Below are 27,629 nucleotides of genomic sequence, written 5' to 3' on the forward strand. Positions count from 1 at the left end.
AATCTGGGCAGAATAGACAGTTCTTCCTGAAGCCAGTGGAGAACTAAATACTTAGGAAAACCTACCAGACCAACGGCTGGAAAAGCCCAAATTAGAGTTTAGTCTGGCATTCTGAGCATTTTTCCCTGAGTACATTTCCTATTGGAATAGCATGCTGAGAAGTTGAATAGCACTTTTTGACATTTCATGGAAAAAATGGAGCAAAATTTAGAGTCTGGGTATACAAAGGCGGGTAACCTCCCTATATGTGTTTGTAGCTCCACTGGGCTGCATTCAAGGTGCAGAGCTGATCTGAGGCTACACAAATACAATGGAGCAGAAACAACAATAGGTTCAGAATCACAGTCTCCTAATGATGGAATAATCAGACCCAGATATAAAATAAATCTATATTCAAAGACTATAGGACAAAATTGGAAATTTCAGCAGAGGATTAGAAACCTAAACTGACCTAGCAAAATTGAAAAGAACCAAAAAAAGATTTTTTGAACTGCAAAATGTAATAACTGAAATTAAAGACTTAGTTGACTGGATTTAACAGATTAGAAACAACTTAAGAGAAAAGAGTGAATCTGAAGACAGATCAAATGCAAAGAAGTACAGATAGAAAATGCAGAAGAGGTAAAGAATGTAGCAGATACTAAGTTGAAGTTCCAAAAGGCAAAAAAGGATAGGATGGAACAGAAAAACAATGGTTAGGAAGAAAATGGCTGATGGCCTTCTAAAGTTGATGACAGACGATAAAACAAAGAATTCCCAAGTAGCAGCACTACAGTGAAAGGAAGAAAAAATGAGAATCATAAAGGCAGCCAGAGGAAACAGATTCCATGTAAAAAAGAATTATGACAATTGTGAATGTTTGATGCATGTTTAATATTCTTATCTTTGGATAAGAAAAGGAATTCTGAAGGCAGTTAAACATCTTTAATATGCTGAATGAAAAGAACTGCCAATTTAGAATTCCATACATATAATTAATGCCCTATATAGTATACAGCTGTGACTTATTAAGACCTAATACTTATTGGTGCTTTTATCATTTTTATAGACAATGTATTAACTATTCCCTCACCGTGTCTACTGTTTTGCTCTATCTTAATTCTGTGTGTTTTAAATATGAAAACTTCTTCTTCTTCTTCTAATAGTCATTATTCATTTAGCCACATCCCCACATTTGCCATTTTCTTGTTTTTTTATTGCTTCCTTCACCTTTCATTGTAAATCCTTTTCCCTCTGCCTGAAGAATACTCTTTAATATTTCTTTCGGTGAATTTCTACTGGTGATAATTTTTTCAGCTTTCATTTCATTAAAATATCTTTATTTAAACTGCATTTTTAAAGAATAGGGTTATAGGCCGGGCATGTTGGCTCATGCCTATAATCCCAGCACTTTGGGAGGCCAAGGCAGGTGGATCACCTGAGGTCAGGAGTTCAAGACCAGCCTGGCCAACATGGCGAAGCCCCGTCTCTACAAAAATACAAAAATTAGCTGGGCATGATGGCAGGTGCCTGTAATCCCAGCTACTTGGGAGGCTGGGGCAGAAGAATCACTTAAACCGGGGAGGCGGAGGTTGCAGTGAGCCAAGATCGTGCCATTGCACTCCAGCCTAGGTGACAGAGCGAGACTCTGTCTCAAATAATAATAATAAATAATAATAATAATAATAATAACAACGTTATAAAATGGTAAAAGCACAAATAAGTACTAGATCTTGATAAGGCAAGGAGGCATACCATAATTTATAGGGTAATTTTTTATATGTAGCAGTGAATGAACAGGAGACAAAATGTTCATAAAATACATAAATACCTGAACAACAGAATTAACCAAGCTGACCTAGGAAACAGGTGCATAATTCTTCATGAAAAAATTACAAAATACAAGCATGTGGAAAATTTATAAACATTGACTTTACTCTGAGCTATAAAGTTTCATTATAAAGCATTGACATCACATGAATTATAAATCCTGATAATTCAATTAAACTATAACTCAACAAGAAAAACTATCAATAAATAAAATGTCTCCATATGTTGCAAATTAAGAAACAAAATTCCAAGATGGGTGAGGTGGTACACACCTGTGGTCCCAGCTACTCAGGAGGCCAAGGTCAAAGGAGAAGTCATAATAGAATGGAAAAGGGGCTGTCACTAGAGACTCTGCAGTGTTAAGAAGATAATAAAATTATATTATGGGAGACTTCTGGTTCTGTCAAGATAGACTAGCCCCATTTCTCCTGGGTTCTCCCTCTTACTAGTAAAAACCCTTGACATAATACAACAAACAACCATTAAAAAACTCTGAAAGTTGGAAAGAAGGTGGTGGCTGCCCAAGGACTTCAGGATTTGAGGAACGACACCCCAGTCTGTTCCACGGCTTCCTTATTGCCTCCCATAAATCCCAGACCCACCAACAGGCACCGACCATAAACACTCCAAGAAAACCCAATGCACAGGAAAAGGATGATCTAACAGCAAAAAACTTTTCTAGCTATGTGCACCCTCCTCCAGGTAAACAACTACCTACCTCTGATTTGAATGGGCCCAGCAGGAGCTGGCCTCTTCATCCACTCTCCAGGCATGAAAGCAGGCAGCACTCCTGACCCCTGTTTGGTAGTATCTGGTCCATTTCTCCACCTCCTGTGCTGAGAAGTGGTCTAAGTACTGGTCATATGTTCTTTTGTGCAGGATTACATGAGTGGGCATCAGCCTTCCTATTAGCCTCTGGGTGGTGGTGAGATATAGTATGTACAGATATAGTATGCACACACACACAGTGAGTACGTATACATCCCTGTAAAGATGAACCAGTGGACAGGGGCCAGATGGCACTAATTTGCTACTGAGTGGATGATTGGTGTCCCTGGGGAACAGTGCTACATCAGGACCCAGTGTTGGCCTCTGTTCCAGATAGGTTAGACATTGAGAGGTGGTAGTAGCTAGACAAGCCTGGGAAAGCAGGTGTCCATGCTATTGGGTGCATATGTCACTCCATCGCTCTATCCTGGCTGCTCCCTCCATATGTCTATGTGGGATTCTGATGGAGCTGATGATGAAAGATGGCCAATGCCAATCACCTGGAAAAAATTACCTACTTGGTTGTTCAGAGCCTCTTTTAAGGTACATGTTTTCTGCTGAGTGTTAACTATGTGACTGAAAAGTCTTCACACTTTGCACTCATGTCCATACATCCATCCACAGGCCTCTGCCTCAGACCTCCTTGTCTCCAGTCTTTTGGTCTTTCCTTCCAGGCCCCTGGCTGCAGCCACATCATCGGCCGCTGTCAAAGAATTACACATATTCTCCCCTCTCCACTGTCTTTCAGATCTCCCTCTAAAATAGGGCAGTCACTATCAAATTTTGGCTTCACCCACTGACAGAACCCATAAATCAACCTTGGGGTTTTTCCTCATGTTGAGCTTGGGGAAGGGAAATGGTATGATTGTTGTGGGTAATTTGGAAGTTTGGTCTGTCAGCGAATGTAGCTTACTTGGGCCCTCAGGACCTGCTTGGACTCAGTCCTGAATGGACTGCTGTTGGGTCAGTGGACTCTGCATAATGGGCAGTTCTGTGTAGTCACTTGGTGCCCCATAGTGAAGCATTCCATCTGCCTGTAGTTGTTGCATTACTATCTCTACCTTTCCTCCCATCAATCCTGGCCAATAGAGAAAACCCACCAATTAGGTGTTTAGCGATGCTGGTGCTGCTTAGAGAACAAGTGTGTCCCTGATAGTGCCATGAATGGTGTGTCCTTGAGTCCTCTTGTGGAACATAATGCTCTGTTGGGTTATTTTAACTTCATATAATTTATCAGCTCCAGCATTCCCAATTCCATCAGCTTCTCTATTCCTTCTTCTACTACCTGCAGCTTAGGCATTTCTCATTTACTGTGTTGCCCATCACTTTTTCTAGCAGTAAGTTTGCCCAAAGTCTTCAATCTTGTTAAAGCCCTCAGTTTCTCATTCCTTTTCAAAGCATCTGCTTCACTTAACAGTTGTCAGCCAATTTTGCTGTCCTTGGTGGCACCCTTGTCTCCTTCTTAGGCCTAAGCCATAACACCTGCATGCACAAGCCATTCAGAAGGGTACCCTCTTTGCCCACGGGGTGGGCAGTGAATGAATCGCAGAGACCCATCCCACTGCCTGTATTCTCAGACCACTTCTGGCTCCTGGCATCACTTGGGTTACTTTGGATCCTCTGAGAAACTGTCACAAAAATAGGATTAGACATGTAAGAGATGTATTATAGTTTAAAATGTCTGTAAGAGAAAAAGGGAAGGAAGAGAGGAGGGGCTGGGAGATCCTCTGGATAATAATGCAGGAGAGCAGGAAGGAGGGAAGGCCTTAGACTCCACTTAGCTTTGAGAAGCAACTGGCTGCAGAGGAGCGGCCCTCCAGCCATAGCGGCCGCAGGAAATTCTCACATAGCCGGGAAAGACTGGCAGCAGGCCTCTGCTGTGCTCAGTCTAGAAGCACAGACGCAGTGCAAACACAGTGGAATCAGAGTGCAGCAATGGAGCCACTGGTCAGTGACTCCTTACAGCAGAAGGTCAGAGAGCCACATTTTCATAGCTGCCATACCTTCATTCTGTGCTATTACCAACCCCGCCTATATTGAGTGTTGTAGTCTTCAATTAACTTTTACCACAGGACAAGAGAGTACTCAGATATGTCACAGAGGATCTCCCCAACTCTGTTGTGTAATGGCAACCCAATTTCCCCTTCATGGTTAGGATCAATCACTCCAGCCAGTACAGTAACTTATTTTGTGCCAGCTGGTTCAACAACATGAGGTGGCAGTCCTGGGTTTCAGTTTATTAGAAGCATTCCTCCCTTGGGAAGTATGACTTCCAAATTAGCAGAGTCCAAAATTACAGAGACAGGAAGCAAATGTTTGCTAGTGGATATCCAGGGTAGTAGTGAGAATCTATTTCCATCAACACCCCTCCAACCCACACACAATTCTGAGACCCATGAATCTTAATCATGGAAGCAACAGCACCATATATTAGAGTCATATTGGAAGGGAGAGTTCTAGGGGCTTCCACTATGACCTCCTTACAATATTCACAAAAACACCATTGACCATAGAACCAAAGAGGGTGATTTGGCAAATTGCTATTAGTTGCTGATTCAGAGCAAAAAAATCACACCCAGGAGGAAATTACACTAGCTCAACTAAGTGATGTCACCCAGCTGGCACCATAAGCGTACTCAGCAGCCCATTCCACCATTCTATTACCCCAGATGCTACAAGGTAATGGAGAACGTGGTACGACCAATGAATTACATGAGTATGAGCCCACTGCCACATGTCATTAAATATGAGTTCCCTGGTCAGTAGCACTGCTGTGAAGAAAATGACAGCAATAAATTTATTTAGTAAGTCTACAGATGGTGGTTTTGGCAGAAATACTGTAGTCAGGGAAAGCAAATTTGTGACAGATTTCGATATGAACACAGCATTGCCCCTCTCATGATGAACTTGATCCAATGTAATCAACCTGGTACCAGGTGGCTGGCTCTCTCCCTGGTCAGCGTTGCCATATTGGGGACTCCTTGGTAGACTCTGCTGTTAGAAAATTGGGCACTCAGAAGAGCTGTAGCTAGATTATGCCTTGGTAACCATGCAGACCTTCCATCTTTGTTTTCATGGCCACTTTGTTCATGACCCTATTGGCAAGGAAGGAAGAGGCTGACCAATGCCCACAGGAGTCATGTTGTCCACTGGGTTACTAAGGTTATTTGCTGAGTTTCTCATTAGTGTGCATTCCTATGTGCTGTGTGCTTGTTTGGAGATATCTAGTTACATACACTTTTCTCACAACACTGTCACCAAATTTCCAATCTTATTCCTTCTATGCCTCTGATCAGTGGGCCAAATTGTTGACTTATTGCTTAAAAATCTGTGCAGTCCATACTTCTAGTCATCTCTCATTCTTAACAAGGTTGACAGACTGGTGTACTTCTCAGAGCCTTATCTATTGATATTTCTCTTCCCCACTCTCCTTCAGGACCACCCCTGTGGGTAGGGCTGTCTACTTGTGGCTGCTGCCAACATACTATGTACAGCACTCTATAACTGATGCTCAGATTTTATAAAGAACTTCCCATGAGGTCACAGGTGCAGGCTGAAGTGGAGTGGCAGGAACGGAAACCATGAAGGTCTGAGACACTTGTTTGTGCAACTTACCACTCCCTCGGGACCTGCTTGAGCCCAATCTTGTACACACCAGTACACCATTCCCAGTGGATGGAAGAGTGCTGCTATGCATACCCAACTCCATGGCTCAGTGGGTTAGATAACGCCTACCTCATGATGTAGCTCAGATTACATAGTAACTTGTTGGCCCAAACTGGAACCGGCACAAATCCAAAAGCTGTTTCTCAAAAGGAGAATAGTTATCTACAAAGAATAGCATGGCTTTCTCTAACATCCCAAAGGTTCACACACTGTGTCCAAGAGTCCACACAACACCTTTATCTGCTATGACACTCTGAGCATACTTGTACCACTGGGTCACATTTTCCAAGCAGAGAGCACCTTTCACAGTGGCCTGGAATGATTGCAGAGCCAGTTTCCACTCCAAGCCTCATCCAAAATTGGCAGTTTTCCCAGTGACTTAAGAAATGAGCATGCCCAATGGAAATAAATGTTGACTCCCAAATCAAGAGGGTCCTCCTCACTCTAGACATTGAGCCTCTTTCTTGATTAAAGAAGTCAGATAAATGTGTCCATAGTCATGGAAGGATATGAACATGCCCTGGATCACAGGAAGATGAACTGGATGCAGAAAGAAGGAGAGATGCACCTCCGCATCTTTTGTCACCATGCTTGATCAGGATGATACAACACAACACAACCCAGCAAAAGAGAACTGTCCTGCCCCTGAAAAATCCAAATCTGGCCGATGACAGCCTGTGAGTGTCTTAGGCCTCTGACTTCTCAAAGAAAGTGAAATGAAATATAGTGCAGCTTCCAGAAAGGGGAATGCAAGGAATAAGGAAGACAACCACACAGGATAGAACCAGGGACCAACCAACAAACTAAAACCAAGTTGATAGCAGGAAGGTCTCACTGTATCATGTCCACCTGGATAAGTACTGAGATGAGTTTTGCTTTCCTCCATTTTCTGCAAGGGAGTTTTAAATTAGTTACTCTATTCTTTCTCATGCATTTTATGAGGTGGGGGCAGATAAACTGTCTAGACCATATGAGCCCTAGACCTGATGTAAACTTCTATATATCATCCGTGACTCAACATGCATTAACTGAGATGCAGTAACTGGATGACAGTTTGAAGTTGTATTACATGCAGAGGAGAATGGGGACATTAAATGTACATGTTACTAATGTGAAGGGTGTGTATCAACGCACACAAGTTAAAGAGATGATTTGTATAAGAAAAAGACACTGGCCTGTTCAACACTCATTCAAAGTCCTTGTCCCCTTTTAAATTATTTTTTCTATTAATCAGAATTTAAAAATGAAGGTATCACTTTCTAGTCTCCCTTATAGTATCAGGTAACCCTGTGACACTATTCTGTTCAATATAATGTAAAAGTCCTGTAGAGGGTTTTTCATTTTTATGTTTCTTTCTGAATGGAAGGCCAATTAAGAGCCTGGAGGCATAAGAGCACCTGCAACCATGAGGACAAAAGCTGCACTAAGGACTGGGGGCAAGAGTACAAGTAGTCCGAGGCCAGGAGGATGCTGCAGAGCCACTGCACCAGCTAAGGGGAACCACTGAATCAGGGCCCTCAGGATCTTGCCACAAAACCAAATTGTAACTGACACACGTCTTCACCATTACCAGCTGTGTAAACCCGGGAAGGTATTTAATTATTGTGACTCATTTTCCTCATGTACTAGTTAGAGTAACAGTAACTCACAAACTCCGGCAAATTAAATATAAAAATCTATGTGATGGGTTTCAAACAAAACCTTTCACATAATAAACACTCAATAAATAACTACCATCAGCAACAGCAACATTATTACATGAGGAAAGTTAAACCTCACTAATACAAAAAAAATGAAAATTAATAGAGGAAGAAACTATTTCTATATATCACATTAAATGAATGACTTAAAAACGATACTGGAGAACATGCAATAAAATATGTATTCTGATATATCATTGGTGGCACTAGAAATTGGTATAATCCTTAGAAAATACACTTGGCAAGTGGTCCAGAAGATTAGAAATACCTAAACCTAGCACTTCTACTTCTGAGTATTTAGCATGAAAAAAAACTTTAAAATACCACAAAATCTAAAGTAAAAAGATGTCAACTGTAATGCAACATATAATAGTGAAAACTTGGAAGCAATAAAAATGTCCAACAATTAGAATGGCTTAACCATATGATTTGGTTTGGCTCTACGTCCCACTTAAATCTCACCTTGAATTGTAATATTCCCCACATGTTGTGGGAGGGCCCAAGTGGGAGGTAATTGAATAGTGGGGGCAAGTTTTTCCTGTGCTGTTCTCATGATAATGAATAAGTCTCACAAGATCTGATGGTTTTATAAAGGGAGAGCTCTGCTGCGCATGCTCTCTTGCCTGCCACCATGTAAGATGTGACTTTGCTCCTCATTTGCCTTCTGTCATGATTGTGAGGGCTTCCCCGCCATGTGGAACTGTGAGTCAATCAAGCCTCTTTCCTTTATAAATTACCCAGTCTTGGGTATGTCTTTATTAGCAGCATGAGAACAGACTAATACAGTACATTGGTACTGGGAGTGGGGCACTGCTGAAAAGATACCTGAAAACGTGGAAGCTTTGGAACTAGGTAACGGGCAGAGGTTGGGACAGTTTGGAGGGCTCAGAAGAAGACAAGAAAATGTGGGAAAGTTTGGAACTTTCTAGAGATGTATTGAATAGTTTTGCCCAAAATTCTGATAGCAATATGGACAATGAAGTCCAGGTTGAGGTGGTCTCAAATGGAAATGAGGAGCTTGTTGGAAACTGGAGTAAAAGTCACTCTTGCTATGCAAAGAGACTGGTGGCATTTTGCCCTGCCCTAGAGATCTGTGGAACTTTGAACTTGAGAGAGATGATTTACGGTACCCAGTGGAAGAACCTTCTAAGCAGAAAAGTGTTCAAGAAGAAGCAGATCATAAAAGTTTGGAAAATTTGCAGCCTGACGATGGGATAGAAAAGAAAAACCCATTTTCTGGGGAGAAATTCAAGCCAGCTGCAGAAATTTGCATAAGTACTGAGGAGCCAAATGTTAATCACCAAGACAATAGGATAATGTCTCCAGGGCATGTCAGACACCTTCACAGCAGCCCCTCCCATCACAGGCCTGGAGGCCTAGGAGGAAAAAATGGTTTTGTGGGCAAGGCCTAGGGCCCCCCTGCTCTCTGCAGCCTAGGGCCATGGTGCCCTGCACGTTCCAGCTGCTTCAGCTCCAGCTGTGGCTAAACAGGGCCAATGTACACCTCAGGTCACTGCTTCAGAGGGAAGAAGCCCCAAGCCTTGTAAATTTACATGTGGTATTGGGCCTGTGGGTACACAGAGGTCAAGAACTGAGGTTTGGGAACCTCCGCCTAGATTTCAGAGGATGTACGGAAATGCCTGGATGTCCAGGCAGAGGTGTGCTGCAGGGGTGGAGTTCTCATGGAGAACCTCTGCTAAGGCAGTGTGGAAGGGAAATGTGAGGTGGGAGCCCCCACATGGAGTCCTCACTGGGGTACTGCCTATTGGAGCTGTGAGAAGAGGGCCACCATCCTCCCAACCCCAGAATGGTAGAACCACCAACAGATTGCACCATGCACCTGGAAAAGCCACAGAACACCAGCCTGTGAAAGCAGCCAGAAGGGAAGCTGTACCCTGCAAAGCCACAGGGGTGGAGCTTCCCAAGGCTGTGGGAACCCACCTCTTGCATCAGCATGACCTGGATGTGAGACATGGAGTCAAAGGAGATCATTTCAGAGCTTTAAGATTTGGCTGCCCTGCTGGATTTTGGACTTGCATGGGGCCTGCAGCCCCTTCGTTTTGGCCAATTTCTCCCATTAGGAATGGGCGTATTTACCCAAAGCTTGTACCCACAGTATCTAGGAAGTAACTAACTTGCTTTTGATTTTACAGGCTCATAGGCAGAAGGGACTTGCCTTGTCTCAGATTGAGTTAATGCTGAAATGAATTAAGACTTGGGGGACTGTTGGGAAGGTATGATTGGTTTTGAAATGTGAGGACATGAGATTTGGGAGGGGTCACAGGTGAAACTATATGGTTTAGCTGTGTCCCCACCCAAATCTCACCTTGAATTGTAATAATCCCCACATATCAAGGGTGGGGCCAGGTGGGGATAATTGAATCATGGAAGCAGTTTCCCCCATACTGTTCTCCTGGTAGTAAGCCTCACAAGATCTGATGGTTTTATAAATGGGAGTTCCCCTGCTCATGTTCTCTTGCCTGCCACCATGCAAGACGTGACTTTACTCCTCATTTGCCTTCTGCCATGACTGTGAGGCTTCCTCAGCCATGTGGAACTGTGAGTCAAACCTCTCCTTTATAAATTACCCAGTCTTGGGCATGTCTTTATTAGCAGTGTGAGAACAGACTAATAGACCATATTATAGTTTTTTTGCTGAAATGTATGAAATATTATAGTGATAAAATTATGTTAATGAAGTGAATAAAATAGTATGGAAATATATATATCATAATATTAAGGAAAATACTCACTACATATGGTACCTATAGCATGAATAAAAAAGTCACACTAAAGTAGGAAATTTACCAAAATGTTAACACTGCTGACATCTAGGTTATGAAACTATAAGTGATATTTTCCCCTGACTTCTAATCCTCTACTTTACAAATTTCCTGTAATTAATACTGTATCAATTAGAATATTTTTAGCTGCAAGTAACAGAAAACCTAACTTGCTTAAACAAAAGAAACTTTCTTATTTGACAGAACTAAGAAATAGGAACAATTTTACACTGTTGGTGGGACTGTAAACTAGTTCAACCATTGTGGAAGTCAGTGTGGAGATTCCTCAGGGATCTAGAACTAGAAATACCATTTGACCCAGCTATCCAATTACTGGGTATATACCCAAAGGATTATAAATCATGCTGCTATAAAGACACATGCAAACGTATGTTTATTGCGGCACTATTTACCATAGCAAAGACTTGGAACCAACCCAAATGTCCAACAATGATAGACTGGATTAAGAAAATGTGGCACATATACACCATGGAATACTATGCAGCCATAAAAAAGGATGAGCTCATGTCCTTTGTAGGGACATGGATGAAGCTGGAAACCATCATTCTCAGCAAACTATCGCAAGGACAAAAAACCAAACACTGTATGTTCTCACTCATAGGTGGGAATTGAACAATGAGAACACATGGACACAGGAAGGGGAACATCACACACCAGGGCCTGTTGTGGGCTGGGGGGAGGGGGGAGGGATAGCATTAGGAGATATACCTAATATTAAATGACGAGTTAATGGGTGCCGCACACCAACATGGCACATGTATACATATGTAACAAACCTACACGTTGTGCACATGTACCCTAAAACTTAAAGTATAATTAAAAAAAAAAAAAAGAACTAAGAAGTCTAGTACAGGCTTGGGTTCAGGCACAATAAAGACAGTAATTCAACACCATCATCAATGCCCCAGTTCTTTTCATATCTTCACTGTGTGTCCTCATTGTGGGCTTCATCCTCAAGCTGGTTCACCTAATGGTCACAACAAGGCAGTGGCCAGAAAAGCTATGTGCTGACTGGCTAAAAAGAATCATTCTCTGGAGTAAACAAACTTGGTGCTTTTTTAGGAAGAAGGGGAGAAGTGAATTGATATTGGAGAGATAAGCAATGTCTTCTCTACTTTGCTACTATTTTAATTTTTCAAAGTATATTTATTGCTTCCAAGCTTGTGAATGTAATTCATTTCACTGCAGAAAATTTGGAAAACAGAGGGTATAAAAAAAAAAAAACTCACACATGATCCCATTACATGAAACAACCATTGTTAACATTTTGGTGCATTTGGTTTAAAAATGTATACAATATGGATAACAATTGTACACATGTGTATATAATCTTAATTAATTTGTAAATGTGATTTTAATGGCACAATAATATTCAATCAAATGGAAACAGCATAACTTATTCAACCAATTATATTGTCACTCATTTATATTATTTTCCTTTTCATTATTATATATAATACAGAAATTAATACCATTGGATGTAATATTTCACTTTATTTCTGATTTACTTCTGTAGTAAAATTTCCATTGAGATTACTGGACCAAACATGTTAAGGCTCTTTTACCATATTGCCAAATAAACACATCTTACATATTTATAATAAGAAAAACTTAAATTAATGAAATAAAAACTGGGAATTATATTTGCCCTGGTAACTTCACAGGCTGGTATAATTATCAGATGATATAATTGCTAAAAAATGTTTTGTGAAAATTTAAGCATTATATAAAAGGTATTATTTGGATGCAAATAAATACAAAACACTTGAAACTGCTTTATGACAATAATCTCTCAGGGATTCATGTATGATTTTTATTGCACACACTGTCATCACTTTAAACAACTTCCAACATTTCACATCCTACCTGTTAATAGAAGCAACTTTTGTCTTAATTACTCAAGTATTTATACTCATAGAACTTTAATGATCTATTCATTAATTTAAAAAATTATTAAGGATATAACTGTGTGCTACGAAGAAGGCCATGAAGCTAGGAGTATCCTAGTATAATTGAATGTTGAAGACAAACATAATCAACTAAAATAAATGTGATAAGTGATATAACGAAGAACATTTTACTATGAGACCCAAGAAAAAGAAATAATTAATGTTTTCCTTCCTTCTCCTATTTTGTCCTTTACTTCAATTTATTTATTTATTATTAATATTATTATTTTTTGAGACGGAGTTTCACTCTTGTTGCCAACCTGGAGTGCAGTGGCGTGATCTCAGCTCACTGCACACTCCGCTTTCTGGTTTCAAGCGATTCTCCTGCCTCAGCCTCCTGAGTAGCTGGGACTACAGTCACACACCACCACGCCCGGCTAATTTTTGTATTTTTAGTAGAGTTGGGGTTTCACCATGTTGGCCAGACTGGTCTCGAACTCCTGACCTTGTGATCCGCCAGCCTCTGCCTCCCAAAGAGCTGGGATTACAGGCGTGAGCCACCGCGCTCGGCCCTTTGCATCAATTTCTACAGCTTGTTTTCTTTGCCTGGACTTTACAAGTCTTACCTTGTTCTGCCTTCAGATATTTGTGTGGTCTCATTCTGGTGTGCCAGTAGCTAAAAATCCATGATTTGCTCTCATCCCACTCCTGTTGTTCATCTCCTCTTATCTGGGGTCACATATCTCTTCGTGATTGCATTCTGATCCCCAGTACTTAGCATGTGCGTAACAACTCTGCCTCTGCTTTCCCAGGCTGTTGATGGGGTGCTGTTCATGCCTCAGAAAAATGCATTGTAAGTTAAATTATTAAAGATTTTAAATATAGGAAAAAAGTAAGCAAACATAAGGAACAAAAAGGAAAGAACATGTATTCTAATCCATTATTTATTATACAATTAAGAAATTTGGAAACTTTAGATTACACTGCTTTTAGAGATGGAGATGTAGTAAGTCTTTTACTCTTTACAAAATACATGTGTTAGCAATTTTGGGAAGAATAGTAACTCACCCGAACAGTGTAATGTGAATATGTCACTTACTAGAGGAAAGAAGGCACTTGAAAAACATCTCTAAACCGTATAAAAACAATTACATCATAATGATGAAAACCCAAGGAATTTTTTTAGAAAACATTACCAGGGCTAATAACAAAGTAGAGCCACATGTCATTTATCTTCCCTTTGTGTCTGTGTGAGAATTCTAGAGTTATATTTGTACATAGCATGGAAAAATGAGAGGCTAGTTTATCAACTAGTTCATTTTTAAAAGTCTAACACATCCTAGGTATAGGTGAACTGTCCTCCTGCCAATGTATTGCACATTTGTGCCCAGATCCAGCATAGGGTATGTTTGCCATTTACAAACGTTTATGTCTTAAGAGAGGAAATATGAAGAGCAAAACAGTGCATGCTGGAGAGAGAAAGCTGATACAAATATAAATGAAACAATAATTGGAAAAATTGAGAAACTACTCATTTTCTAAATTACTCATGTATTTTCCTAGAATTTAAGTCTTTTAATTTTTGATAAATCCCAATGTGAGACAAGATAAGTATTAGTGATGGTATGAGTAATTAATATCTGTTATATAATATTCATTTTCATAGTGGAAGAAATAAAATAAAGGTTGTGATGATTGTTGATTATTTTTTCTAGAGGGGTTGTCAGGGAAAGAAATTGCTTTTTTTCATTCTCTCTTTCCACTAAGAAAGTTCAACTATTAATTTAGGCACATACAATAATTACTCCATTCTAAAATGCCAAAAAGGTAATTTAAGAGACTTAAAACTGAAAAGTTTAAGATAGTCACACTGAACTATATTAAAAAATCCACAGGGTGGTTGGAACTAGGCCTTATATTAAAGAGGCTAAAAATTGCAATAAGACCACAGGCTTTAAATATGGCTTTAAACTGTGAAAGGTGAAACTAGAATGAATAAAATCCTATAAATTTAAATCAAAAGAAAGAAACAAACTGAAATTAAAGTTATTATACAAGAATATGGTGGCCTGGATCTAGTGAACATATAGTAAAGATAAAACAGAATATTTCTGAAAAATCCTGGAAAATCTTTTGGGCTAACCTGAAAACAGTATATTTGAAACTATTTTTAAAATGCAGTGATACTAGAAATATTTTAGAATCATATGTAGGTTTGGCATTAATGGATAAAGACTAGAGGATTTTCATCCTCATAAAACATTTGGACATACAGTATTTGATTAAAATGATGACACATTTTTTTGTAAAATATGATTAATTTTGGCATAATAATTTATTATGTTAATATTTCAAATATATACTTTGCATTTAATAAACCACTGAATAACTGAAGATAATGGCTTATAAGCACGTTTTTGCTCCATACACCAGGCTGCTATTGCATTGAAGGCAATGAATTCCATCACGGGGGTTATATGATCCAGGGCTGCAGATCACTGTGAAAAAAGAGTAAGTTAATAAGTAGTATTTTCCTAATACACATAATATAAAATTTCCAATCTCAATTCTTTTAAGTGTATAGTTCAGTAGTATTAAGCATATTCACACTGTTGTGCAACAAATCTGCAGAACTTTTTCATCTTGCAAAACTGCAACTCTATACCCATTTCCCTGTTTCCCCAGCTGTTGGCAACCACCATTCTACCTTTGGTTTCCATGAGTTTCACTAATCTACATACCTCGTGTAAGTGGAATCATACACTGAAAGTTTTAATTATTTACTCTGAGATTCCTGTAAGGAGCGTGAAACCTGGATCCCTTGCATGCATGCACAGTTGACAATAGGGTTGGTACTCCTATGAGAATCTAATGCCATTGATGACCTGACAGGAAGCAGAGCTCAGGCCATAATGCTCACTTGCCCGCCACTCACCTTCTATTTTGCAGTCTGGTTCCTAACAGGACATAGACCAGTACTGTTCCCTGGCCTGGGGGTTGGGGACCCCTGCTTTAAGTTATATAGCAGAAGCCACAAGAGGTCAACACTACAGGAAGAACCAAATGTGCTTCACACATGGCCATAACTGTGTATTTTAGGTGGAAAGAGACTGCATTTTTTTCTAATAATCTCCTGATTTCAAGTCCTATTTCTACCACTTGCTAAATGTGCAATTTTGAAAATATTAATCTAATTTAATTCAGTTTGATCATCCCTAATATGAGGATAATGAAATCATGAATTTGATTAAATGATGACATCTACTACTGCCTGACAGAATAGAAAGAAACCAAGGTCAGATACCATCTCTGTCACAGATTATCTTTGGTAACTTAGGTAAAACAGTCAACTCTCTTAGTTCCACTATCCTTATTTTGTAAAACAGGTGCAATACAATAATAACCAATTTCATAACATTAATGTATTAAAAAATCACACAGTGTATCATAGGCACTCAATAAATGCTTAACTTTATGCACTCAGGAACACTGCCTCTACCAACCTGTTCTATTGTGGATAAGGGGATGGCTATCAGGTGGTGCCATCAAGCCTCATAATTGGGCTGGGGTCTTTGATTATTCTGTTCCTCTTTTTCCTGTTGCAAATGTGGTTGCCCAAGGATCTCAGAATATGTTAATAGCACATCTATGGAATGTTTATTATGGGCCATCAAAGAAAATTCTTTTTCTAGCATCATGATTCAATGATACAAGTTAATATTTGGATCTAGTTCACACTATATTTTAAATTTTATATCATTTACTTTTAAAATGTATTTTTCCAAATTGGGAAATATTTTACCATTTTTTAGAGGAAATATTTGCCATTCTATGTTCCAAAGAGTTCCTCAGTTTTAATAGATGTTTTATTTGGGAGAATAATGTTTCAGATGGAAAAAAGTTTAATTAAACAAAGTAGATTTATTTCCTCCAGTGATAACAACAGTATTTGAATTGGTAATGTACACAGTAAGCTTCCAATGATGTTTCTCAAAAGTGTGTTGATTATGGCACATTTTCTCTCAAAGCACACCTTAATATTTATTGAAGAACAAATATGGAAATGTTGAGCAAAGATACTAAAAGTGTTAAATCATTACACATGCAGAAGAGAAATCTGCATGCAGTCTTTACACATATGCTTTATATTGATTATCAAAAATAGAAATGACACCAGCATAAAATCATCTAAATACAAGCTTAAATAAATATGACTTTCTAGTTACTATTCTTAGAATTAATAAACCGTCACAGTATGACATGTGTAACATCATATAGTTCCTATGTGTAGCACTCCTTCCTAGTATACATACTAAAATATTTTTTCTCTGTTAAGTAGAACTGGGGAAAAATGTTAAAATGTTATTTAAATTTAAAGTACAAAATTAGCCAACTCTTTAAACAAAGAGACAAAGAAGGATTTGTGACTAATCAGTATTGACATAAAAAACATGATAAAGTACAAAAAAAAGTTATGAACTTTGGATAGGAAATAATTTCTTAAAAAGGAAAATGCACTAACCATAATGTAAAACATTTAATATTAAAATTAAGAAATTAATTTTAAAAATCATAAAAGTAACGATTGTGTAAAATAAAACTGTGGAAAGACTCTCCAAGCAAGATGGACTCCCTGAGGCTAACAGAGATGCTTCAAATTTGAAAAGAGAAGTAGGCATTCATAGTGAGGTGAGAGGCTGGTGAGTGGTCACATACTTTGTGTTTCTCTGAAGAAAATACAGCCTTTGACAACAAACTTTCTGCCTGTACAACTCCAAGCTGGAGTATCTCCTATAACCAAAAACTGAACATTCCATAACTGACCATCTGAAAATCTTCAATGAAAAGGGATTTGTGGTCTCAAACTTGTAGGCAACCCAATCACTCTGTTGCCTCAACCAATCAGAGCTTGGCTACATCAACCAACAGGAACCGAACAAGTTTGAATCCCTCCTTTTCATAAACAGACATGATTGGGAACATGGGTAGGAACTTTATGAAAGCCAAACCCTCTCTTTGTTCTCTGCAGTGCACCTTCAGTTATACCAAAGGCTGTGTCTCCCAATTCTATCCATTGCTTCTCAGAAAATATAAGCTTTCCTTTTGGCCTTTGCAGATCTCATGGTCTTTTGTTAACGACAGTCAAGGAATAAAATTCGGAAAAAAATTGTAGCTATATAATCAACAGAAGAATATTATTCAGAATATATAATTAACTCATATAAATCAATTAGAAAAACAAATAAAAACTAATTTAAAAGTAGGCACCAAGGAGAAAATACAAATGGTGAACTAATGGCTTTTTTTGTTGAGCCAACAAAAGAGTACTCAAATTAGATCTAGGAAATCCAGATAGACATCAGAATGTAATACATTGAGAGTGAGATGCAAGAACTTCCAGTGAACTAGGAAGCTCCAGGCCCTCATTCCCCCATGAAAACATTAAATAAGTAACTAGAGACTGGCTAAAATAACTTTACAAGAGCTATGGAAACCAGCCATAGGTCTACAGCAATTAAGTTCTGAATCCAAAAAAAAAAAAGCTGTGTTTGAAATGATTAAAAAAAAAAAATTGTGGCATTTTTACTCACCACTGTCCCACCTCCTTCCCCATGCAGCTCTGGAAGATTCCATCCTACACAACTGAGAGAACAGAGCAGACTAAATTTATGACCTTCTGACCTGTATGAGAGTCCCATGCCTGTGGGATTGGTTTGTGATGGGTGCAGTTCCTGAAAACCACAAGGAGACAACAAAGGGGAACATAGGTGGGGCAAGAGATTTCCTGAAAAATATAACATAACATGTAAAGCCCAGAGAAGCAGCAGGAGTGAGCCTCTTAGAGAAGAAGATATCTAAAAGCAGCCATGTATACAGAGGATTCAGAAAAAAAGCACATGCTCAGGACCAAGCATAAGAAAAGATGTTCCACATCACTAAGCGTAAGAGAAAAACAAATCAAAGCTACAATGAGATATCAGCTCACAACCATTAGCACAGACACTATTTAAAAAACAGAAAATATTTATTGGTCATGATGTGGAGAAATTGAAATCATACTTGGTGGAAATGTAAAATGGTGAAGCTACTATGAAAAACAATACAGAGCTTCCTCAAAAAATTAAAAATAGAATTACCATGTGATCAGTTAATCCTGCTTTTGGGTATATATCCAAAAGTATTGAAAGCAGGATCTCTAGGAAGTATTGCATATCCATGCACCCATGTCCATTGTCACATTATTCACAATGGCCAAAAGGTGGAAACAACTCAGATTTTCACTGAGAGATGGGAAAAGTGTTAGATCTGATAAATTCAGCAAAGTAGTAGGATACAAAATTGATACACAAAAATCAGTTATGTTTGTGTACATTAACAATAAACAATCCAAAAGGGAAATTAGGAAAATAGTTCCATTTAAAATACAATCAAATAATATTTAGGCATAAACTCAACCAAGGTGGTGGAATAATGTATACTATAAATTACCAAAAATTGTTGAAAAAAATTCAAGAAGACACAAATAAATAGAAAGACATATCATGTTCATGGGTTGGAACACAATATTAAAGTGTTAACACCACACAAAGCTATTGATTCAATGCAATCTCTATCAAAATCCCAATAACATTTTTTTTTGTGAAAAACAAAAATCTTTCTCAAGAGACTCCAAATAGCCAAAATATTGAAAAAGAAAAACAAAGTTGAAAGTCTCACATTTCCTGATTTTAAAACTTACTACAAAGCTGCAATAATCAAAACAGTGTGGTGCTGCCAAAAAGACAGACATACAGACTAATGGAACAGAATAGAAAGCCCAGTAATAAATCCTTGCATACAGGGACAAATGATTTTCACAAAGGATGCCAAGATCATTCAATGGGGAAAGAACAATTTTTTTCACCCAATGGTATTGGGAAAACTGGATATACACAGACAACTAAATGAAGTTGGATTCTTAGACCATATACAAAAATTAACTCAAAATGAATCAAGGACTTAAGAGCTAAAACTGTAGAACATTTAGAAGATGACACTGGGGAAAAGCTTCAGGATACTGCATTTTACAATGATTTCTCTTTTTTTGCATATTTTTGTATAATACACAACCTTTTAAACGTTACTGCTAATATCTGAATTTTTGTGTTTCTGCTTCAGTCCCTCTGAGTCATTGGTCTTCTTTTTGTTCCCGCTTGTATTTTTCACATTGTGTGTTTCATAGTAGTGCACACAAATTTTTTTGGATTGTTGCTGCTGTACTGCTCACTTCCATTCCTTAGATGTAAGCATCCTGCAAGTTTTACTTGAATATTCCTCTTCCCTCTGTGTTCTGCTTATTTCCTTTTTTGGTAAATGCTGTGTAGCATCTGCATCTTCTTCAGATATTTTTCTCTGCTCTTCATGTTTTTCAAATATCTTTTCACTTAGTACCTTGGATATTCTGACTCCTGAAAACTTTTTAGCTTTAGCTTTGTCTAAAAACTTCTGATATTTAGCAATATTCTCATCTAGAGCTTTAATAATGGCTTTGGTGTGATTTTTCCATATGTTCTTCCTCAGATTCCTAGTAAGACTCTTCATCATCTCTTGCTTCTGCTCCCCTTCTTCAATAGAAAAGCTCTCAAGCTCTTTCTCCAGATATGACATATCCACAGGAGCGAGGTCATCCCCAGAAGACTGAGGCACCACACTGAGTTTGCCAAAGTTTTGCTGAACCCATGCACAAGAATTGGTTGCATCTCTGAGTTAGCATCCAGTGACTATTCTCTTCTTTTTCTTTTTCAATCACAGATTCTGTCACTTCACCTACAGTTTTGGTATTCATTCTGTCACTTCCTCTTCTGGATTGTTCTGGGTTGCTTCTGTGGCAACTTCCACGGATTAGGAGGGTGAAAGCTGGGGGGCCACAGGTGACTCTCCATTAAGCAGCTTGACAAAGAAAGGAATCCAGCCCTCTCAGCCAGTCATTGAGGACTATCCACCCACAGTCAGTAAGTCAGTAAGTTACTCCACCCTTTAGTAACTTCCCAGTCCAGAAAGTTAGCTTCTCAATAAAGTCCTCAGCATTCTCCCAAGAATTAATCTTTTATGTCTTGCTGATATATTCTGGCTTTACTTGTTCAAGTACAACATCAATGCAGTCTTCAGGGGTCTTAATTTTTCCTACTTAACTCCTTTTAGCACAATGTCTGTCTTCAAGTCCTCAGAAGAGTATACCAAACCTGAACAGTCAATGAAGCATAACCAACATATCAAGGTAATGTATTTCCAGATATTTCATCTACAATGGGGACCACATTGCAAACTTTCTTGGAACACTATGTTTATATCACAGACCTCTTGCCAACATTTAGATAGCCAATGAACCCAACACTCATCTGTTTCTTGTCAGTGTACAACTTTCCAAACTGCCACAGAAGCTGAATAAATGCTCCTTTGCGAAAGGGGTCAGTAAGACTTGCATGGAAAGCAAGTGTTGGCTAATCCAAGGAGAGGACAGCAACCCATCATTTTGTTGCCCAGGTTGCAACAAGGTCACATTTGTTATGTACAAACATAACGTGTTCCCAGGGTTTATTCTTTTTCAAGTATGGCTCAAGGCTCAATGTGACGGGAACGGGTACCCATTGGATCTCTAGCCAGCAACCAGAACTACAACATCTGGTGAATCTATAACCCTGGAGAGCTCATCCTATATTCCTTTGGACTGTCCCTTTTTACATGTCTCTTCTTGTGCTTCATTTATCCCACCAGTGTCTTCAGTTACTGACTCATGATCTTTTCTAGAAACTGGTCTAGCTCTCAGTGGACATTTCAGCATTTTCTAGAAAAGACTGCATATCACTTGCAAATAAATTTGGTTGCTTCCTTTGTGACATAGGGCCAAATGTAGTTTTAAAACTTTCAGTATCAGGAACGTGCACCTTTGAGTTGAGGCTGGATTCAATCTTAGAGAAGAGACATTGGTAACTTGCTTTGTTTCATGACAACTGTGTATGAATCCTTCATAACTGTATCCACTTCCTCTTGAAGTTTTTGTAATCATGACTGCTTAATCACATGTGCATTTTCAAACTATTTGATATTTGGCTGCACTTTTGCCACTGTGCCAGAAGCCACCTTTGATTGATATTCCAGGGGCTTAATGATCTTACCACAGCTGTTCTTGTATTTCTTTTGCCTGTACATATTCAGGCCTGAGACTGTGGCCTGGTCCCTCATGTTTTGACCTCCTGCTTCCTGCTCTCAGTCTGGGTTTGTGCTGGCATCGAAGAGGTTGATGATGCACTGTCCTTTTGTACTTGGGCTTTACCATCTTGGCGATGAGATGGGAACTGAAGTGCTAAGTCCAGCTTATGTTGGGTAAATGAATTCAGAACTTCCCAGGCCTGGCTGAAGTGACCTGTTTTATTACAGCTTCAATCTCAGTAGTTGTTATTGGTCTCCTCAGTTGTTAGATTTTTTCATAGTTCAATCTTGGTAGGCTGTATCTGTCTGGGAATGTCTTCTAGGTTTTCCAATTTATTGGCATATAGTTGCTCCTAGAAGCCTCTAATGATCCTTTGAATTTCCATGGCAGCAGACGCAATGTCTACTGTTTTATCTGATTTTATTTTCATTTATTTTATCTTCTTTTTTTCTTAGTCTGGCTAAAGGTTTGTTGATTTTGTTTATCTTTTTTAAAAATAACTTTTCATTTCATTGATTTTTGTATTTTTTTTATTTCATTTATTTCTGCTCTGATCTTTATTCCTTCTACTAATTTGGGGTTTGGTTTGCCCTTGTTTTTCTAGTTCTTTAAGATGTATCAATAGGTTGCTAATTTGAAGTTTTTCTGCTTTTGTTGATGTAGGTGCCTATTGCAATAAACTTCCCTGTACTGCTTTTGCTGTATCCCACAGGTTTAGGTACATCAGGTTTCCATTTTCATTTGTTTCAAGACATTTTAAAATTTCCTTCTTAATTTCTTCATTGAGCCACTGGTCATTCAGGAGCATATTGTTTAATTTCCAGGTGTTCATATAGTTTCAAAATTCCTCTTGTTATTCATTTCTAGTTTTATTCCATTGTGGTCAGAGAAGATACTTGATATAATTTCAATTTTTTGACTTTTTAAAGATTTGATTTGTGGCCTAACATATGGCCTATCTTTGAGGATTATCCATGAGCTGAGGAGAAGAATGTGTATTCTGCAACTGTGGGATGAAATGTTCTGTGAATATGGCTATTAGGTTCATTTGTTGTATAGTAGAGATTAAGCCTGATATTTCTTTGTTGATTTTCTGTCTGGATAATTTGTCCAATGCTGCACTGAAAGTAGGGTGTTAAAGTCTCCAGCTATTATTGTATAGGGGTCTCTCTCTTTAGCTCTAATAATATGTGCTTTATATATCTGGATGCTCCTGTGTTAGATTCATATATATTAAGAATTATTATATCCTCTTGCTGAATTGATTTCTTTATTCAATGACCTTGTCTGTTTTTATGCTTTTTGTCTTGAAATCTATTTTTTTTTTCCTGATATAAGTATAGCTACTCCTGCTCTTTTCTGGTTTTGCATGGAACTTTTTTTAACTCTTTATTTTCAGCCTATGTGTGTGTCCGTCTGGGTGTAGTGTGTTTCATGTAGGCAACAGATTGTTGGGTCTTGTGTTTTTATCCATTCAGCTCTCTTTGTCTCTTTACTGGAGAGTTTAGTGCATTTATATTCCATGTTATTACTCATAAGGAATTACTTTTGCCATTTTGTCACTTGTTTTCTGGTTGTTTTGTGGTCTTTTCCTTCTTTCTTTTCTTCCTGTATTCCTTTTAGTGAAGGTGATTTTCTCTGGTGGTATATGTACATATCCGTTGTGTTTTTTGATTTGTGGTTACCATAGCCTTGCAAATAATATCACGTAACCTGTTATTTTAAACTGACAACAACTTAATGCTGATTGCATAAACAAACAAGCAAAGAGAAAACTAGTAAAAAACTCTACAGTTTAACTTCATCCCCCCCTTTTTAGCTTTTTGTTGTTTCTATTTATATCTTAGTATACAGTGTTGTGAAAAGTTGTTGTAGTTATTATTTTTATAGGTTCATCTTTCAGTCTTTCTACTCGAGATATGAGTGTTTATACACCACTATTGCAGTATTATAATATTCTGTGTTTTTTTGTGTATTTACTTCAGATGATTTCTTATTGTTCATTAACATCCCTTTCCTTCAGATTGAAGAACTCTCCTTAGCATTTCTTATAGGCAAGGTCTGGTGGTGATGAAATCCCTCAGCTTTTGTTTTTCTGGGGAAGTCTTTATTTCTTCTCCATGTTTGAAGAATATTTTTGCCAGATATACTATTCTAGGATACAAATTTTTTCTTTTTTTTCCTTCAGCAATTTAAATATGTCATACCACTCTCTCCTGGCCTATAAGGTTTCCACTGAGAAGTCTGCTCACAAATGTACTGGAGCTCCATTGTATGTTGTTTCTTTTCTTTTGCTGCTTTTAGGATCCATTCTTTATCCTTGACCTTTGGGAGGTTGACTATTAAATGTCTTGAGGTAGTCTCACCTGGGTTAAAGTTGCTTGGTGTTCTATACCTTTCTTGTCCTTGAATACTGATACCTTTTTCTAGGTTTGGAAACTTCTCTGTTACCATCCCTTTGAATAACCTTTGTACCCCAACCTCTCACTCTCCCTTCTCCTTAAGGCCAATAACTCTTAGATTTGCCCTTTAGAGGCTATTTTCTAGATCTTCTAGACATGCTTCATCTTTTTGTCTTTTGTCTTTTCTGACTGTGTATTTCCAAATAGCCTACCTTGAAGCTCACTAATTCTTTATTTTGCCTGATAAATTCTGCTGTTAAGAGTCTCTGATGCATTCTTCAATATATCAATTGCATTTTTCAGCTCCAGAACTTCTGCTTGATGCTTTTTAATTATTTCAATTTCTTTGTTAAATTTATCTGACAGGATTCTGAATTCCTTCTCTGTGTTATCTTGAATTCTGTTAAGCTTCCTCAAAATAGCTATTATGAATTCTCCATCTGAAAGGTTACACATCTGTTTCCCAAGATTGATCACCGGTGCCCTATTTAGTTCATTTGATGAGGTCATGTTTTCCTGGATGATCTTGATGCTTGTGGATGTTTGTTGATGTCTTGGCATTGAAGAGTCAGGTATTTATTGTGGTCTTCGCAGTCTGGGCTTTTATGTACCCATCCTCCCTGGGAAGGCCTTCTAGGTATTCAAAGAGACTTCAGTGTTGTGATTGAAGTCTTTGGTCACTGCAGCTATATCTGCATTAGGGGGCTCTCCAAGCCTAGTAACACTGTGGCTCCTGCAGACTTGCAGATGCACTGCCTTGGAGGTTTTGGGTAAGATTCAGAAGAATTCCCTGGATTACCAGGCAGAGACTCTTGTTCTCTTCTCTTATTTTCCTGCAAACAAACAGAGTCTCTCTGTGTGTGCTGAGCTGACTGGAACAAGAGGAGGGGTGAATCAGGCACCCTGTGGCAACCACCACCTGTGACTGCACTGGGTCAGACCTGAAGCCAGCATAGCATTGGGTTTCACCCAAGGCTCATAGTCACCACTGCCTAACTACCGCTTATGTTCACTGAAGACCCAAGGGCTCTACAATAAGCAGGTAGTGAGTCCAGCCAGGCTCATATCCTTCACTTCCTGTTGGTAAGTTTCTTCCAGCCCTAACTGTGTTCAGAGATGCCATCTGGGAACCAAGGACTGGAATCTACCTGGTCCTCTATTCTACAGCAGCAGAACTGGCACCAAAGCTTCAAGACAAAGTCTTTCCCACTCTTCACTCCCCTATTCTCAAGCATAGTAGTCTCTCTCTATGACCATCATTGCCCCAGGCCTGCAGCAAGTATTGCCTGGCTACCACCAATGTTCACTCGAGGCCCAAAGGCCCTTCAGTCAGCTTGTGGTGAATGCTGCCAGTTCTGAGTCTCTCCTTTCAAGGCAGTGGGCTACCCCCTAGCTCAGAGAAGGTCCAGAAATCCTATCCAGGAGCGATGGCCTGGAACTGAAGACTCCAGGAGCCCACTTGTTGCTCTACTCCACAAAGCTGGTATCCAAGCTAATGCTTGATTCTTATGAAGGTGCTTTTTTGTGTGGACAGTTGTTCAATTTGGTGTTCCAGCAGGAGGGATAATCACTGGAGGGTTCTATTTGGCCATCTTACTCTGCCTTCTCCCTGTTTTGATTTCTTTTACGTGATACCAAAAGCACAAGAAATAAAGATTGGGTTCTATAAAAATAAAACCTTTTGTGTATCAAAGGACATTATCAAATATAGTGAAAAGGCAACCCACAATATAGGAGAAAATATTTGCAAATCACATGTCTGATAAGTGGTTAACATTTTTTTTTTGAATTTTAAACTCCTATAATTCAACAAACAACCCAATTAAAAAATGGGAAGAAGACTTGCATAGGTGTTTCTCCAAAGAAGATACACAAATGGTCAATAAGTATATAAACAGATGCTCAACACTACTAACCATTAGGGAAATGCAACTCAAAACCATAATGAGATACCACTTCAAACACAATGAGACGACAAGTATCAAGAAAATGGAAAATAACTAGTGTTGGTGAGGACATGGAGAAATTGTGAGCCTTGTGCATTGCTGATGGGAATGTAAAATGGTATAGTGGCTATGGAAAATCAGTATGGTGGCTCTTCAAGAAATTAAAATAGAATTGCCATATGAATCAGCAATCCCATTTCTGGGTATATGCTCAAAAGAATTGAAAGAAGTGTCTCAAAGAGACATTTGTATGCATTATGGACTTAACGTTTGTGTCCCTCCAAATTGATATATTAAAGCCCTAATCTCCAATGAGGCAATGTTGGAGATAAGGCCCCTAAGGAGATAAATTTAAATGAGGTAATAAAGGCAGGGCCCTTATCTGATAAGATTAATCTCCTTATAAGAAAACAGACCAGAAACACTGCTACCTCTTTCTCCATGAATATGCACCAAGGAAAAGCCATGTAAGGACAATACCAGAAGGTGGCTGTCTGAAATCAAGAAGAGAGCCCTCTCCAGAAACTGATCTTGGACTTCTAGCATCCAGAATTGTAAGAAAATAAATTTCTGTTGTTTAAGCCACCCATTCTATGAAATTTTATTATGGCAGCCTAATATAGTATATATCTAAAATAACTGAAAGCAGGATCTTGCAGGTATTTGCTTACCTGTGTTTAATGCAGCATTATTCACAATAGCCAACAGCTGGATGTAGCCCAATGCCCATCAGTGAATAAATGAAAAACAAAATGTGTGTATAGGTACAATAGAATGTTATTCAGCCTTAAAAAGGAAATTCTGACACATGCTATAACATGGATGAATCTTAAAAATATTGTGCTAAGTGAAATAAGCCAGTCATAAAAAGACAAATACTATATGATTCCACTTATATGAGGTATCTAGAGTAGTCACATTTATAGAGAAAAAATGTAGAATGGTGGTTTTCAGGTGTTGGAGGGAGAAGGGAATGGGGAGTTATTATTTAATGGGTATACAATTTCAGTCTAGAAGTTGAAAAAAATTCTAGAGATGGATGGTGATGATGATTTCACAACAGTGGGACTGAAGTTAATGCCACTGTGTATTTAAATTATACATTTAAATACACTTAAAATGTTAAATTTTATGTTATGTACATTTTACCATAATAAAAAGTGATATATACACATTCATATATTTAAATTAGCTAATATCTACAATTTGATTATGCCAAGAATTCACATAGATATGGAATAACAGAGTTTCTTCCACCCTACTGTTGGAAATGTATTAATAAAACCAACTGTGAAAAATAGTCTGATATATTTTAATTAACTGCATATCTTGTGACCCAATATTAGATAAAGACCTTTAAGAATCTTGAACAGAATATATAAACAAAAATATTCATTATGGCACTGTGTGTCATAGCAAAAAACTGAGAACAATCAATTTCAACCAACAATAAAA

At 38.4% G+C, this 27,629-nt stretch overlaps 1 protein-coding gene and 1 pseudogene across 11 annotated transcripts in view; both read right to left on the reverse strand.

Moving 5' to 3' along the window:
• The window catches only part of ZPBP (zona pellucida binding protein), a 252,593-nt gene that overhangs the window by 81,835 nt on the left and 143,129 nt on the right, over nucleotides 1–27,629 (reverse strand). For 4 of the 11 annotated variants that reach the window (XM_024446645.2, NM_001159878.2, XM_011515103.2 and 1 more), the window contains one exon: nucleotides 14,953–15,134. The exons of the other annotated variants lie outside the window; for them this stretch is intronic. In XM_024446645.2, coding sequence (XP_024302413.1) covers nucleotides 15,040–15,134 — 95 coding nt within the window. In that variant the 3' untranslated portion in view covers nucleotides 14,953–15,039. Of the gene's footprint in view, nucleotides 1–14,952; nucleotides 15,135–27,629 lie in introns of those variants that run through there. 11 annotated transcript variants of the gene reach the window in all.
• GNL2P1 (G protein nucleolar 2 pseudogene 1) lies at nucleotides 19,722–22,040 on the reverse strand (annotated as a pseudogene).

This window comes from Homo sapiens, chromosome 7 (genome assembly GCF_000001405.40).
Source record: "Homo sapiens chromosome 7, GRCh38.p14 Primary Assembly".
Classification (NCBI taxonomy): domain Eukaryota; kingdom Metazoa; phylum Chordata; class Mammalia; order Primates; family Hominidae; genus Homo; species Homo sapiens.